Source organism: Homo sapiens, chromosome 9 (assembly GCF_000001405.40).
Source record: "Homo sapiens chromosome 9, GRCh38.p14 Primary Assembly".
Classification (NCBI taxonomy): Eukaryota; Metazoa; Chordata; class Mammalia; order Primates; family Hominidae; genus Homo; species Homo sapiens.
In genome coordinates this window covers 35,333,636-35,350,735 of record NC_000009.12, presented here as the reverse complement: position 1 = coordinate 35,350,735, position 17,100 = coordinate 35,333,636, and the positions used below count along the sequence as shown (strand labels likewise).

General features: G+C 44.1%; 1 protein-coding gene across 16 annotated transcripts in view, besides 1 other annotated feature; it reads right to left on the bottom strand.

Annotated features, from left to right (window-relative positions):
- UNC13B (unc-13 homolog B) overlaps positions 1-17,100 on the bottom strand; it is a 243,327-nt gene that overhangs the window by 54,600 nt on the left and 171,627 nt on the right. For 5 of the 16 annotated variants that reach the window (NM_001371187.2, NM_001387555.1, XM_011517686.3 and 2 more), the window contains exon 1: positions 8,392-8,840. The exons of the other annotated variants lie outside the window; for them this stretch is intronic. Coding sequence is in view for 3 of the 5 variants with exons in the window: in XM_011517686.3 (XP_011515988.1) it covers positions 8,392-8,448 (57 nt within the window). In the remaining 2 variants the exon portion in view is untranslated. Of the gene's footprint in view, positions 1-8,391; positions 8,841-17,100 lie in introns of those variants that run through there. 16 annotated transcript variants of the gene reach the window in all.
- Positions 15,210-15,504: a silencer, noted in NCBI's record as "tiled region #14419; HepG2 Repressive non-DNase unmatched - State 23:Low". NCBI's record gives its function as "represses a minimal TATA promoter and a strong SV40 promoter by Sharpr-MPRA in HepG2 cells {active_cell/tissue: HepG2}" and the evidence as "EXISTENCE:reporter gene assay evidence [ECO:0000049][PMID:27701403]".

The window sequence follows — 17,100 nt, the reverse complement described above, 5'->3', positions numbered from 1 at the left end:
TACGTATTTTAAACTTAGCAGGAAAAATATTTCTTTACCTAATTCTAGAATAAAGTGGCACAGTACGCACACACTGTCCAGACGTAGGTGGCATTTAGCATGAGAGAGGCAGGTAGAGAGGCAGGTAGCCAAAGAGACAGGTATCATGAACTCACAACTGGGGATGAAGGAGGTTTAGGCTTAGCTTGGTGCTCCTGAGCTCCACTTAATACTCTCTAAGGGCTTGCTGCAGCTAGTCAATATCTGGGTTTGGCTTTCCTGGCCCACAGAGGATCTTTCAGAGCACCACAATAAGTGATTGTCCAGCACACTGTCCACTGCTCAAGTATTAATAACAAAGGGTTGCTCTAATCCTCTGCCTGGCCCAGAGAGAATATCACATGGGACATGTGGGGGAGGGTTACCTCACAGAGGGCTCCAGGGTGCTTTACTCTTCTCCAATAAGGTAAAGACAGACTTGCCACCAGTCTAGTCCCTACACCCTAAGCTATTGGTGACTGCATTACAGAGGCAGAGACGATGATTACCTCATGTGGAGTGAGAATACATTCCCTTTTTACTGAGAATGTGGAGAGTGTACGGAAGCAGTAGAGTGGAAAGTACAAGGAGGAAAGCAGAGATCTAGGAGGCACATGGGACAACTAATATTCCAGTCCTGCTAGGTCTCCTGGGAGGGGTAAGATGGATTGGTGGGAGACATGCTACTCTTCATGTTCTTTGACCAGGGATGCTTTCCCCATTTTCTAGATTTGATGGAGATTTCTAAATCTTCTAAACTCTGCCTCCTTTTATTTTCCCAGTACTCAAGTTAATCCTAAAAGTGGGAAAATGCCTTAAAGAACACAGGCAGACTGCTCTCATGGCAACCCATTTTCAGGAAAGGCCACCACCTACATCTAGTCTGTGGGCCTGGAATTTAAAAGCATTGTGCTTCCCCAGACTAGGAGGAACCAGAAGGACGAGTCAGAGGACTTGGGATAAAGATGAAGCTGATTCTTTTTACTAGAAATAACTAGGCCAAGAACCAAGAGACAGAAACTGCATGTATTCCCATTTCACATCTCTCCTTTTCTTTCCAGCTTATCTAACAACTCTAATTCATTGAGGAATTCTTCATCTAAGAACCCTATCCATCCTGTGAGGCATTACTGCTTCACCTCAAGGTCTCATGGGGCCAGGAACAGCCATGCCCCTAATCTGGCCAACTCAGTCTAGCCTGCGAGGATGCACTACCTGCACAACCAGAATTTCTGGGTCTTGGGCTTGGTGCCCAGCTGCCTAGGTAGACCACGCTCCAAAGTCTAGAGGATGCCAAATTCTTCCTTCTCTCTTCCCACAAGGACAAAATCTGAATTTCCAAAGATACTCCTTTTTTTTTTTTTTTTTTTCCTCCCCAACCATGTAGGGATTGGGTATCCCTGATTTGCTCTTGGTATTAGCCATGAACAATGTTCCTGGCTTTACAAGGGCTGCAGCTGGCAAGTGGCCTTTCAAATTTGTCTTTAAAAAAGAAGTACTGCGGCTGGGCGTGGTGGCTCTCGCCTGTAATCCCAGCACTTTGGGAGGCCGAGGCAGGCAGATCACAAGGTCAGGAGTTTGAGACCAGCCTGGCCAATATGGTGAAACCCCCTCTCTATTAAAAATATAAAAATTAGCTGGGAGTGATGGCAGGTGCCTGTAATCCCAGCTACTCGGGAGGCTGAGGCAAGAGAATCACTTGAACCCAGGAGGCAGAGGTTGCGGTGAGCCAAGATCGCACCACTGCACTCCAGCCTGGGCAATAGAGCAAGACTGTCTCAAAAAAAAAAATTAGAATTGCTTAGTAAGCTTAGTAAACTAAGATGGAAGCTCTGTGTACAACTACATGAAGCCATGAGCAAGTGCTACTGGACTGGCATCAAGAGACTTAAGTTTGGGTCTTGTTCCACCAGTGACCTTGGATTAAACACTTGACCTCTATGTGAATTAGTTTCCTCATCTGTAAAGTGGGGGAGATAATTACAGGAATGTTATTATATAAAGCTAAAATGAGAGAACTGTACTTACTAAACTGTAAAGCACTGTCCTGTTGTTATTGCTACTGATGTGGCAAGTCCCTGAGTCAACAAAGTAGGGAAACCCATATCTAAAGCAAGCATCCAACCACCTAACTGGCACAATTTGAGTGAGCCATGACTTCTACTTCTGCCCCAGACTCCTGCCTTTCCCACTCCCTTCTAATGGTCTGCAGCAGTGCCTGGAATCCTACGAGGAGACTGTCACCCTTAAAGTTAGTCCTGCTTTCTCCTAGAAGTTTTCTTTTTAAGGTAAGGAGAAGGAGGAGTAAATCATTCAGTTCCCAACACCTCATTCAAGTGTCAGGAGGCCGGCCGTCTCTCAGACAGCCTGAACGCTGAGGAAGAGATAAATGGCTATAGAAGCCAAGCTTTATTTTTCCAATGCTGGTGAGGCCCAGAATTCATTGCCAGGTCTTCTAAGGCCAGCCTCACTTTGGTCCAGATAAGGCAGTTTGTCGGGAACACTAATGAAGCTGACTCCCCTGCTACTGCTACTGATTCAGTGTAGACCAGGCTAACCTGGGGCCTATCTGCTTCTGCCCCTCAGATCAATACTGCAGACATAAGTTTTTGTTTTGTTTTGTTTTGTTTTTGTTTTTGTTTTAGTAGAGATGGGGTTTCTCCATGTTGGTCAGGCTGGTCTCAAACTCCCGACCTCAGGTGATCCGCCCATCTCGCCTCCCAAAGTGCTAGGATTACAGGTGTGAGCCACCGTGCCCAGCCCTCCAGACATACTTGGCCTCATTTCCCGGACACCTTACAAGGTATTCCCTTCCAAACTACAGTGCTTACGACACTGGCTGGCCAGCCACACAGGGGGCAAATGGCATAGCCACTGGGTTCAGAGTCCTTTCCTGTGGCCTCCTGAAGACTGAAGGCAGAGCTGCCTGGTTCCCCATGTTACTGACAAATAGGAAATTTTCAACTAGAGCTGCCATAGCAGCTTCTCCCAGCCTCAAACAAAGATGCTTCCTTCCATATTAAACAAACAAAAGCCTCCACACCTTCTTATGAGTTGGTAGCCACTGCCCTGGGATGAACTTTGAACTCAAGAATCTCTTCTGGTGATATAGGAAGGGCACCAAACTCACTTAGTAATCCAGTCTTTGGGCTTTGAAGCAGGGGATGGAGCTCGATGTGATGCTCAGAGGACCAACCAGTCACTGTGCTGAGCTCAGTAGAATATCAGAAGCCAGAATGGGCTGAAAGGGCAACCCTCAGGGACAGGAGGCCCAATTCACCTCCTTCCCAGCCTCTCTTTGCTACTACTGTCCACAGAAGTGAAATGACAGGGAGCAAACTGTAAGAAGGACCATTTGATCTCCAAGTCAGTTGAACTGCATGAGTACTTACTGTGTGTGCCAGGGAGATAAGATGCAGTACCTGCTCTCTAATACATTAAGATTTGGAGAGAAAGATATATATAGATGATCACAATATAAAGTGATACATATTATAATAAAAGTTATAATAAAAAGTAAGCATTTAGCTGGGCTCACGCCTGTAATCACAACACTTTGGGAGGCCAAAGCAGGAAGATCCTTTGAGCCCAGGAGTTAGAGACCAGTATGGGCAAGGTAGGGAGATCACGTCTCTACAAAAAATAAAAAATTAGCTGGATGTGGTGGCATGTGCCTGTGGTCCCAGCTGCTTGGGAGGCTGAAGTGGGAGGATCGCTTGAGCACAGGAGGTTGAGGCTGTACTCCAGCTTGGGTGACAGAACAAGACCCTGTCTTTAAAAAAAAAAAAAATGAAAAAGAAAGTAAGCATTTAATTCAGGGGTTGGGAATGGAAAGGAGGTGAGAGGCCCAGCAAAACGAGGCATACAAGGCCACAGAAAAGTAATGTTTGAGCTGGGATGGGGTAAGTAGGCTCTGGAGTCCACCTAGCCTTGGAGTTTCCTTTAAGATACCCAATGTTATCTGTCTGCCCTACTTTGTTGGCCTATTGACTCTGGACAACTCTCCAAATTTCATACACACACATTCCGACAAAAACCATACCTTTCTGTGCTCTTTTCCTCAGGACTGCCTAAGGCTGGGAAAAATAAGGCAGCCCCTTTCAAGGACTATCTGCATTTGAAAAGGGAGCACATCAAAACAAAATGAATTAATCAAAAAGATTAAAGCTTTAATGATGGAAAGCTAACAATTACTGCAGGGAGTAGATCCCTTAAACCACATTGCATCACCACCAGCCTACCAACGAAAAAGAGAAAGGAAAACACCTCAGTTTTTTGAAATGGCTGATTCTTTTATCCTTCTCTCTGACTTATCAAATAAATGTGATTAGGAATGTAACTATTCCTTGTAAAAACTGCTTCTAACCCAAATCTGGCTTAGAGGAAACAACCAGGGGACCTCTGGGAAAAGGCCAGGACTCGATGTACATATATCAAGCAGCTTCCCAGTTTGTGTGAAACAATCCCAGCAAGCAGAAATCCAAGAGCTCTGAGCCCCCAACAGAGGACAGAGCATTTCTGGGCCATATATCAATTATGTTGTATGGCTAATATGGGCTAAGAGGAATGGATTTCTAGGGCCACAGCAGGTATGGGGATTCTCAGGATGTTAATCATCAAAATGATCAGGGCACAAGATATGGCAAGTGAGATTAGCCAAAGGGAATGAGAAATGCCCTAGATCAAAGGCTTAGCAAGGTCCCAGTATTGCAGTTCCTAGGACTTGCCATCCATCCTCATCAGCATTAAGAGCAGCCCCATTTATAGGCCAGAAGCTAGACATATACAAGGGAAAGAAAACTTCAAGCCTCTATATCCAAGAAGGGAGACAATCTCAGGTAACATACAGTTAAAAGACAGTGGCATGAGGGCGGACCTAGCCTTCAGAGGGAGGGCATATCAATACCTCATAATGGAGACTGAATGCCAGGCATGAGAGCAGGCTATTCTGTGCCCTGCCCAGGGCTCCCTTTCAGCAGTAGCAAGGTTTTTTATACCAAGGAGTATAACAAAGCATACAACAAATACAATCACACCCAGAATCTAACCCATGACAAAGACTCTTCTTTGACGAAACATAAGTCAGGCTCCTCTGAGTCCTCTTTCTGAGTAGGCCCTTGACATTGGCTCATTTAGTCCAGTTTTAACAAGAATCCAGCCAGGTCATTTTAGTGAAAATTCCCACCCTTGATTTCTGATCAAATTCCTCATCTTTCACCCTTAGTATCTGTCTATGCTTGGTATCTGACCAAATTTCTTATCCCCTACCCCTGATATCTTACCACCTTGGCCTGCCTTCAGCAAAAATCCTGTCAAGTAAGTTTAGCCAAAATCCCCTTTGATACTTCATCTTAGTAATTTCCGTCCACTGATACCCCACCCTGCTCCTTGGCTAAATTCCCACTTTTCCTTATATTTGGAGTTGAGCTCAATTGTTCACCCTCACTACAAAACCCCAGTATTGTCGTCCCCCCACATAAAGTCTGTCTTATCATCTTTAACAAGTGTCAAAATAATTTTTTGTTTAACACTCACATACCCTCTTTTTCCTTACTACCTCCTGCTCTTGTGAGTACACTGAAAAAGATACGAGTGCAGGAGAATCTACTCACTGAACACCCCACCACAAAAAAACCCATCTCTATCCTCTTCCTCTAGAATTTCCTTCATAGAACTCATTCCCATCTGATAGCTTGTTCATTATCTGTCTCCCTCCCTGACCTCTGTATCCCAAAACATGAGCAGGGACTTTGTTTTGTTCATAACTGTATCTTCAGCACCTAAAACAGTGCCTGTGCTAAAAACAAACAAACAAACAAACAAAAACCCAAAACAAACCAACCCTGTCATTGAATAAAAGAAACCAGAACATAGTTGGACAAACCCTTTAGAGGGTGTCTAGGCCTGGAATCTCACACTACATTGTGATCTAGGTTATGGAGTAGTCTTACCATCATAGTGCTTTTCTATACTTTGAATTTGAAAGTCTTTAGGCAGGGCAGGTGCTCTAGCTTCTCAAAAGCCCTACTACCCTTGACCTAGAATGAGACCCTTGTTGTCATTAATCTGTTTTGCTGTGGCAGACTACTAGATGGGAGGCTCCTATTCAAAGATCCGCAGCGGGTGTGAACTCCATTACATTGGAAGCTGTGTCTTATTTGTTTCTGAATTTCCAGTGCCTAGAACAGGGCATTACTATGCCTGACACACAGTGAGAATTCATTGTCATGGAAAGCATAAATGAATTGATGGCAGAGCCGAATTAGAATCCAGGTCTCCTAATTTTCTCATCCATTTCTGTTTCCATGACAACATGCTGCATTCAAGTTCTAGGTTTCCTTCTAGATTGATGGCTTACAGTCCTCTTTCATTGTAAAACTAAGGTGGAAATCTTTCCCCAGTTGTACTTAAAATTATCTGGGAACTCACTCAGGACAAAAAAAGAAAAAAGAAAAACAAAAAAAGAGTGTGGGGGCATGGCAGCACCGGTCTCTGCCAGACCATCAATTAGCTGGTATCTCTCCAGTGTATGAGACTGGCAGGGAGAGATCCTGCTGTGGTTCCTGTTACCCCAGGGATGCTGTGACAGGGCTCCCATCCCCTACCCCGAGTTGGAAAAGCTGCCCTGATCCTTGTGCTAGTGATGGGTGAGTTTAGAGCAGCACTGACTAACAGAAATATAATGTGAACCACATGTGTCATTTTAAAATTTCTAATCGCCACATAAAAAAGAAACAGGTAGAATTAATTTTAATATATTTTATCTAACCCAATAGCCAAAGTATTATTTCAACATATAATCAATATAAAAAATTATTAATCATATACTTGCATTTGTTTCCTATACTAAGTTCTTGAAATCTAGTATGTATCTTATGTTTAGAATGCATCTCAAATTAGACTAGCCACATTTTAAGTACTCAGCAGTCACATGTGGCCAGTAGCTACCACATTGGACAGCATGGGTCTAGAATTCTGGGGTGGGAAATACTCTGGAGAGCCTTCCAAACCTGGCAGTAGAAGCTCACTGCAAAGGGCACACTGTCATCCCAGAGGCAGTCGAATGTTACGTTCTTTCACTCATCTTTTCACCTGCTCACTTTGATCCTGGCTGGAAGCAGCCCATTTCCATTTTGTGTGAGGTTCAATCCTCCTCAAGGTACAAAAAACAAAGTATCAAGGCCCCAGCCTACAGAAGATGAGAGCTTTTCTCCCTCTCCACCTGACCCTTTCACGGTACCCCGCTTCTTTCCAATACTCTGCAGAAAACCACAGGATAAACCTGGTTACCTCAATAGATGCTTCCCCTTCACATGGAAAACTTAGAAACCTCTCACAGACAAGAACATAATTTCAATAAAACTGGACCAAGAGTACGCTATCCTATCCAACTCATACTAGAGGGACACACAGTAGTAAGAGATTATATTTGTTTAGAATTTTCAGTTTATATGATTCCTATTTTATCATCACAACAACCCTGTGAGGCAGGAGGTTTGTTGTTACTGTTCTGATTATACTGATTTCATAGATGAGAAAAATGAAGCTCAGAGAGGCTAAATGACTTGACCAAGGTCACTGAGTATAGCTAGGATTTAAAAGTGAGTCTTCAATCTGCAAAGTTAGTGCTCTTTCTTCATACATGCAAGACACAAGTGGACAGACTGTCTATTGCGCATGTGTGCATATATTCAAGACTGAGAAAACTCAAGATGACTTTTCTGTTTATATGGCATATACACACATGAAAGGGATGAATTAATACATTAGGATGGTGGTTTTTTCTCTTTCTCTCTGTCTCTCTCTCTCTTTCTCTCTCTCTCACATATACACATACAGGAAGGGTGGAAATGATACAGAATATATTCAAGAACAGAAAGGTTACTTGAGTACATGCATACACATAGGAGATGAAGGGATGGATTATATATGTATGTGCAAGTAGGGAGAGACGAATTTTGCATATTCATATATGCAAGCTGGATGAATGAGTTGTCTATACATATGCACATGCAGGAGAGGAATGGACAGGTCATTTATTCATAAACACATATGGACACATGAAAAAGGAGAAACAGATTATTTGTATATGAATATGCACACATCCAGAGGGTGGCTGGGTTATCTATATACATACAGGAAAGTACCACAGAGGAATGGATGGTCAGATTATCAGCACACAAATACATGCATGTGAAGATTCTACCCCAGTGCGGCATATGCTACTTTTCACTCATTATAATGACCCCCCTCACCAGCAAGTTGACTCAAGCAATTACGTAATTAATGTAGCTGCTCCATATTCCACCCACAAATGCTTTCCTTTTGCCCTGCTTGTTGTTCAGTCAGTCATACACACTCGGTACCACTTACCTTGCTGCTGCAACCAAAATAAGGGTTAAGGAAATTAAAAAAAAAAATTAAAACCATGAATTCTCAAGTTTTAGAAGGCAAATGCTGTCTTTAAGAGGAAATCCATCCAGGAGCACTCCTTGGTTTGACAGAGAAGCCACAGGACGAACTTTCTGAGCCAAAGCACCACTGCTTGCCCAACCGACAAACAGACCCAAGGAGCTAATATTCTCAGTTGCACCCAGCTGGCTGGCTCCACGGCACAAAGTTGATGACAGAAACAATGCCCTGCAAAAAAACCCCTCAGTGAAGGGCTTGGCAGGAGTCTCACTGGCTGCAAACGTAGAAATCTAACCTGGTCCACACCTCTCTGGCAAGGGGGATTCTGAGATCAGCCTGCTGAAGGCAACAGCAGCCAAACTTCAACTGGATGTGGAATTCTAACTCAATCGATTCTGGGCTTTGAGACTGAGGCAGAAAGCAGGGCAGCTCCTGCTCCTGCTGCTGCTCCTCCTCCTCTCCAGCTGCTTCCTGCCTGCAACCTCCCATAGGGCACCAGCCCTCCTCACACGTTCCTGGCGCACACACCCCCTTCCCAGCACACTCACGCACACACAACCCTTGCCAGCAAGCTCACTCACACACCCTTGGTAAGTGTCTCTCCCTTTTGCTAAATATAGATCTTACTCTCTCCCCTCCTCCATTTCCTTCCCTCGTTCTTCTCCTCCCTGCTTTCTTTTCCCCTATCCACCTCTCTCACATCTGGGCTATAGGATATAAACAGACACAGATGGAGACCTATACTTTCAGGAGCTCCTAGTCTCAGAGGGAAGCCGGAACACAGCATGCCAGCCGTGGAACTGCTGGAGCACAATACAAAGGGAGTCTTCCCTTCTACTGAGACAAGCTCTAAGTTGGTTGGTTGGTTGGTTTCGTGTATATATAATCTGTTGTCAGCATTTGGCAAAGCTGAAGGATAGGTACAGTGATCAAGTGCAGTTAAAATCAAACAGTGCCATGTTCTTGGAGTAGACATCTATTCCAGTTCTTACTGAACAACCACCACAAGAGAATCAACTGGAAAATAAGAGCTCCCTCAGGCTATGCCAAAGCAACAACCCGAGAGAAGGAGGGGAAGTTAGGTGAGCTGAGATGAACTCTGTATTGCAGAAGTCTAGACCAAAGATGGTTTCAGAATCCAGAATTAGGAACGAAGTAACCTAAAGTGATATCACCATGACCAAAAAGCTGCCTAAGGTTCAGGGCCCCTTTTATGACCCCAAATTTCATAACCCTTCTTTGCCAATGGATGCCCTATCTCCCTGGAGACTCACTAGCCAGGTGGCTCTCATGTGACCCTAATTCCTAATAATTCAACAATTCTAGTTAGGACTCACTGGGAAATTGAATGTCCTTATCTTCAAAGAACACTCAAGTTGTTCACTGCAACATAATGTCCGAGCACAAGCCAGGACCCCTTGAAGCTCTGTAGCATAAAATGCCAAATACATGAAATGTGATATCCCCTTTCCACTCTGCAACCATAGGACATGAAAAACATCGCATAATGAACCTAGATAACCTCAGAATCCTTCTCAATATAGAGCTCGATCAGCCAGTAACAATCCAGTGAAGTCATTCCTCTTCTGACTCCCCTGAGCTTGATCTTAAGAGAAAAGGCCCTCTTCCTCCTTAGGCCAACAGTACGTGGGCAAGTTTGATTTACCCAGCATGCCCAAACCAGGCTCTCAAACCTTGTGACTTCTGCTGCCCTGCAACATTCCTCATGGCAATCCACAACAGAGTATGGCCTCTTTAGCCCACAAACCAGGTAGTCAGTCTATGGGGACCATCCTAGGATCTGCCATTGCAGAACAGGCAGCCCTTTATGGTAGATAAAACAAGCATTTAAATTAAGAATGATTTGTTTGGCTTATCCAAGATCCTGAGAAGAAAGGGTTGATTTCAGAGCCAACATGTGCCTCCCTACTGCCTTCTTCCAATAACATTGCTTCCCCCTCAACCAAGGAAGAAAATTTAGATTCCAAGAGATGCTAAACAACCCATTTCTTAGCCATCCACCTCATTACACAGCCAACACTAACAGCAGAGCACATACCTCCTAACCTAGTTGGGAGCTGGCTAGATGACAGAAGAGATAAGGCCTGACAGCACAACTATAACCGCATCTAAACACAGAGGAAAAAAATAACTTGAAAACTGTCAAGTTTCTGTGGAAGTCACAGCCAATTTACTGTGGAGTTTCCCATCCTTCAGCCAGGAGAAGGAGGTAAAAGGTTTAAAACAAGAAATATAGGGAAGATTGATTAAATTAGAATTCCCTCCCCCAAATCTGCAGCCACTCATAAAGAGCCCAGAACAGTGGCTGTCACTATCAGGTTTGGTCAGGCTTCCTAGGCTAAGGAGAAGCTCAAACTTTCAAGAGTGGGAAAGATTCCCCAGAGGTAGGACCCTGCTAAAAGAACCTACTTCTTCCTGCCTAATTGACAAAGTGGCCCTAAGGCCTGGCTAAGGCCTCCAGATGGCATTTCTGAGGCTAATGGAACCCACCCTGTCTTGTCACCCAAACACATCCAGCCCATTTTTCTAAGCAGCTTGGGCTTTCCAGAAAAACAAAGGCTCAGGCAGTAGAAGACGTGGTTAGCACATGAGGCACAACAAATCTGCCATCTCCAGTTACAATCTTCAAACTTCACAGGAGAGCTCATGCAGCTTTGACCACAAATTACCTTTGTATCTATCCACCTTCCCATGTTCCAGCAAAAGCAAGAAACAGAGTAAGTGGGGAAGTGGCAAACAGTCAGTGGAAGCTCTTGTAAAAGAGCATGGCCCCTTCTGCCACTGTTCTACAGGGCCCACAGAGTGCCAGACACCACATGGCCAAAGGACATCAGGACTCCTCAGTGGACTAGCTCTTTGGGACAAGCAGGCAATTTGTTTTGTGAGCCACATGGGCAACAATGCAGCCCCCTCATCACAGTGGATCTGGCCCTGGGGAAGCCTGAGTAGGCCGAAAGGATGGGGTGCTTTTTAGAGGTAAGAAATAGCACAGCACCCACCTCAGTTGGGAAGCTTCCTCAAAGTAGGCTGCTCAGGAGCTAGCTGGGCAGAACTGGAAAAACAGATTGGGTTAAGAAGGAAAAGGCATTTATCCAGAAGCTGTGAAATGCTCTGAACAGACATTCTCAAGGTCTGGTTCCCAATTTAAATCCTTGCAGGGATCTTCGCCTAGAGACAGATGAGTCAAGATGGAAACTCAACATGATACACTGACACTCACGCAGAGTTGTGGGAAGGTTCAGACCTGCAGGAGTTCTAAAGGGGAGCCGAATGGGTGGGTTAGTCAGAAAACCACCTGGCATACAAAATTCATCTTCAGCTAAAGCAACTGAGTGGTGTCACAGAAATACTGGAGGAGGGCCTCACCAATCACAATTCTCCCTACTCATACAAACCAGTCTAAGTCTCCCTGACGTCAGATACAACTGGTCTAGAAGCAAAGAATATGCCTGCTCCAAACCTGGCCTGCCTTTTCAGGTGTCAATGCCAGAGACAGGCTGGGTCAGGACCAGCAGGTGCTTACCTTATTGTCCAATATCAACACAGACGCAGAGTACAAAGGATGGGTGCGGCCAATATCTATATCATGCAAGAGTCAGCTTGTGACTGTTTTCCTTCTCTACTGCTGAGGAAAGCCAGAAGCAACATGAAAAAGCTGACATATAGTCACACAGCTGGGATTTATTTCATGAGGAAGATGATTTTTCTGGTGGCTAAGAAAAGTCATTTTTCCCGCTGTAGAATGATGCCCTCCCTACACCATGGAGAAAGCATATGCAGCAGAGAATGACGGGCAGCAGGAGGTAATCCTGCTCCTTCCCTGAGGAGCATGCCATCCTAGGGGAGTGACAAGCCTGGCAGAGATGTGCTGACTTTACTGATGCACTAAGACATAGCTGCTTTGTTACCTAAACAGACCCGACAAGCTGCAAGGCAGGCCCTAAGAGTCATAAATTGCTGACAAGTCTTAGTCCTACAATCAGGTCAAGGACCATCCCTGATTAGCAGAAACTTGAACATAAGGAGCTGATAAACTTCTTGGAACTGGCCAGCTAACCAGTTAGGTTTTCAGCCTGTACCTCCAAAGGCTGTGGCCCCCTATCTATTTCAGGACCAAATAATTAACAATTCATGATCATAAGAAACCTATATGTCTACTGCCCTCTCACATAAACCCGATCAAAAGTCACAGCTCCCAGATTTAGGACTAATGCCGGTCCTAAAGTAGTATTTGTTTATATATATATCCCAGCCCAAGCCACAGAGTGCATTGGCCCTGCCTCAATCTCTATACCCAAAGGAAACAAAGAGGCCATATACCGAGGATCCTCTAAAAGGAATCCAAAATTTGACATCCCAGGGAGAAATGAACCTCTTGTACTAAGTGGAGACTAACTGGGTTAATATTGATCAAATATCCCCTCAGTTCTTTATGGCTTGTTCTAAGATACATCTAAGAATAAGATATAGGGCAAACCCAAATCTGGAGAATTCTCCTGGCTTAGGCCCCTGTTTCTATAGTCTTGTGGAAATATGTCCCTAACCAGCAGATGAGTTTCAAGTGTCTTCACATTCAATGAAGGGATCCCAAAGAGGTGGGTTTTTCCCTACAGGATTCTCCAAATATTCAAAAGTATCTGATATGAGGTACTGAATTACAGGAAGGTAGCTAATGTACAAAGGGGAAAAGAAGACTTAATGAAGGCGTATCCTTCACTGGGGATCTCTGACAGTAAGAGGGAAGCATGGTGGAAAGAAAGGGAAGCACTCAACTAGGTAAGTCTGAAGAGAGAACTACGTGTTTAGAGGACTAGGCTGCCAGCTCACCCATATCAACCCATGCAGAGATGACTTCTCTGCTCAGATACTGGATCATTGGAATCCATATATTCTAATTCTTTACCCAGTGAGAGAAGCCCCTGCAAAGCCCTTTGTGCCTCTGCCATAATCTATTTTACCTTCTTATCTATCAGTGTCTCCTCTGCAATCTTTAGTCCAGGCTTATTTCTCACTTCAACTACTGCAAAATATTCATTCTCCCTAGACTCCATTCCTCCAGAACCACCTCCCACTCACTCCTCTTTACCCTTGATCCGTGATGCACAATTTGCTAGGGGGATATTTCTAAGATGTACATAAGTTTTTGTCACTCATTTTCTTAAAATCCGTCAGTGACTGTGAAAAAAAAAAAAGTCCTAGTTCTTTACATGTTATCAAAGTTCTTTCTTGACCTGCCCATGTCTAGAGGAATTTGGCTTCCCAACACCCTAACTTTAGTCAAAGCAAACCCCTTGCACTCACTTAATGTGCCATCTCATCCTTTCTGTTTCCAGATGGCCCTATGTAGAGTGCCATCAGAGAGTAAACATCAGGATGGTGAGAAGGTAGGAACCTTTTCAAGTGCTTTGTCAGAAGATAAGACTTGTAAATAAACATGAAAAACTACTTTGGTACCTGTAATGGGTTGAATTGCCTGAACGTCTGTGTCACTCCAAAATTCATATGTTAAAATCCTAACCCTCAAGGTGATGACATTAGGAGGTGAGCCTTTGGGGAGGTGAACAGATCATGAAGGCAGAGCCCTAATGAATGGGATTAGTGCCTTTATAAAAGAGGCCCACAGGAGTTCTTTTGCCCCTTCCACCAGCTACTTGGGAAGCTGAGGTGGGAAGATAACCTAAGATATCCTAAGCCCAGGGCGTCAAGGCAGCAGTGAGCCATGATCACACCACTGCACTTCAACCTGGGTGACAGAGCGAGACTCTTTCTCGAAAAAATAAAATAAATAAAAAACAAAAAATAAATGAACACCTATTAAGTAACAACATCTTGTTAACAGGCGTAATGAAAAGATACAATCCTTGCCCTTAAGAAGTTCATAACCTAACGGGGGAAATGTTAAAGCAAGAGGCATTGTTATACCCATGTTATATATTCTGAGGGAGAGGAGTGTTAGATTTTATGTTTGACGGGGTAGTAAGAAAGGATATATAGAAGAGGAAGTGGAGGAGAAAAAAAAGATGGTAAGTACGGTTTGAACACATTGTATGAAGTGGCTATGAACATTCAGGTGACAATATCCACAGGAAGCTGGATAAAAAAGTCTGGAACTCATGAAAGAGGACTGAGGTAGAGATAGTAATTTGGGATTTATCAGTTACAGGTTAGGACATGGATGAGATTAACTAGAAAAGAAAATGAGGTAGAAAACAAAGCCTGGGAATTATCAAGTTTTAAGGGGCAAGCAGAGAAAGAGAAATGCTATGAAGAAATCAAAGATGGGGCCAGGCGCAGTGACTCAGGCCTGTAATCCCACCACTTATGGAGGCTGAAGTAGAAGGACTGAGGCCAGGAGTTCAAGACCAGCCTGGGCAACATAGGGGGACCCCCATCTCTACAAGAAAAATTTAAAAATTAGCCAGGTCTGGTGGCACATCCTTGTAGTCCTAGCTATTCTAATCCCAGCTACTTGGAGGCTGAAGCAGGAGGTCTGCCTGAGCCCAGGAGTTCGAGGTTACAGTGAGCCGTGATTGTGCCACTGCACTCCAGCTTGAGTGACAGACCAAGACCCCTTTAAAAAAAAAAAAAAAGGCCAAGAAGGAAGAATATTTTAGAGAGAAATCAGTCAACAGTTTTATCTCATCTGTCGTTAACAAATGCTCCAGGAGGTTGGTTTTCATCTAAAATGATCTTCCTAACTTGTCTTCTTTGGCTGTTTAAGTCTGAGTGTTCTCAGGTGAGGACTGAATAAACACATTTCCTTAGCATGCTTGAAGGTGACAACCAGCAAAGAGAAGAAGCAGCTTAAAGAATGGGCTACAACTTACCTCTTTCCCTTTGGCTTCAGGAAGTTTACTGAAGTCTTACAATATGACTGTACTTCAGGGCATAGTGGTAAATAGCAGCTGCATTGTCCACAGGAAGAATGCAACATGCCACTTGCAAGAGGCCATGGATCTCCCCCATGGCATATGCTTGCAAACACAGGAAGCAAGTTATCCCTTGATTTCCATCTTTAGAAGCTCATGTTATTTTATTTCTTGGCCATTTCCTGATACTTAACTGCTAACTTAGTATTCTCTGGGAATTCCTCTGAGAAGACTTCTCTGATCACCCTAATCCAAAGGGCTTGTTCCTTAAAGTCCTGTGGCAACTATTTTCAGTTAAAAGACTTAATTATTTCTTTTGCAATCAGTTACTTAGGGCCGTGTAATACCACTTAATTTTTTTAATTTTTTATTTGTTTTGAGACGGAGTCTCACTCTTGTCACCCAGCTGGAATGCAGTGGCGCGATCTCGGCTCACTGCAACCTCCACCTCCCGGGTTCAAGTGATTCTCCTCTCTCAGCCTCCTGAGTAGCTGGGATTACAGGTGCCCGCCACCAAGCCCGGATAATTTTTGTACTTTTAGTAGAGATGGGGGTTTCGCCATGTTGGCCAGGCTGGTCTGGAACTCCTGACCTCAGGTGATCCACTCGCCTCAGCCTCCCAAAGTGCTGGGATTACAGGCGTGAGCCACCGCGCCCGGCCACCTAATATTTTTAAGTGTTCATTCCATAAATCTTTGCTGAGTTTTTACTAAGTATCAGGAGGAATTGATGCTAAGAATTGGTGATCAGTTCTTGACCTCAAGAGCAATCTAGCAAAGGATTTAAAGCCTGTAAGTATGCAAGGAAAATACACGTAGAAAGCCAAAATAATAAGAAAATAAGTGGCCAGGAATGGGGTCTTCCCTGAACTGTTTTTCTACCTACATGCACTAGGGATATTAGGCAGAGAAGATACTCCAGGTGAATGTCTACTCTTAATTCCTAAGACTTGAGACTCAAACATCTGCATGGCCTTTTACCTTGATAAGCCAAGCTGGGCCAAAAGACGTCTTTAGCAGAAGAGGTTTTTAACCATTTCAAAAGGCAGGTCAAACAGTCTGCAACTTAAACTTTAGCCCCTGGGCCCATATTTTTTAATAGACATCTGAATTTCTCCAAGTGTAAGGGGAGGTACAAAAATGAATATCAGGGCTAGGTGCAGTGGCTCACGCCTGCAATCCCAGCACTTTGGGAGGCCAGAGCGGGCAGATCACCTGAGGTCAGGAGTTCAAGACCAGCCTGGCCAACATGGTAAAACCCTGTCTCTACTAAAAATATAAAAGTTAGCCAGTTATGGTGGTGGGCACCTGTAATCCCAGCTACTTGGGAGGCTGAGGCAGGAGAATCACTTGAACCAGGGAGGAGGAGGTTGCAGTAAGCCAAGATCACACCACTGCACTCCAGCCTGGGTGACAAGAGCAAGACTCCGTCTCAAAAAACAAAAAAAAAAACAAACAAAAAAATGAATATGAAAAGCCCAAAGCAGTTTTCTCAACCTGACTTTTCATTCCCAAGTTTGTTCCAAATGACAGAGCTCCTGCCTCCAGCATATTAGCCCAATTACAGTGCTTATTCTTCTTTGGGCCTGAAGTCAGACGGCAGCCTTCAGCAACTCCTAAAGGTTGGAGTGAGTGACTAATATGTATCATAAGGGACACAGATAAAATGTACAAGAATTTGAGAGAGGGAAATATTTCCAGCATTAGAAACACTGGTTTGGATGTGAGTCAGAGAAGGCTCTGTGAAGAGCATGATATCTGAGATTGATCCAAAGAATGGA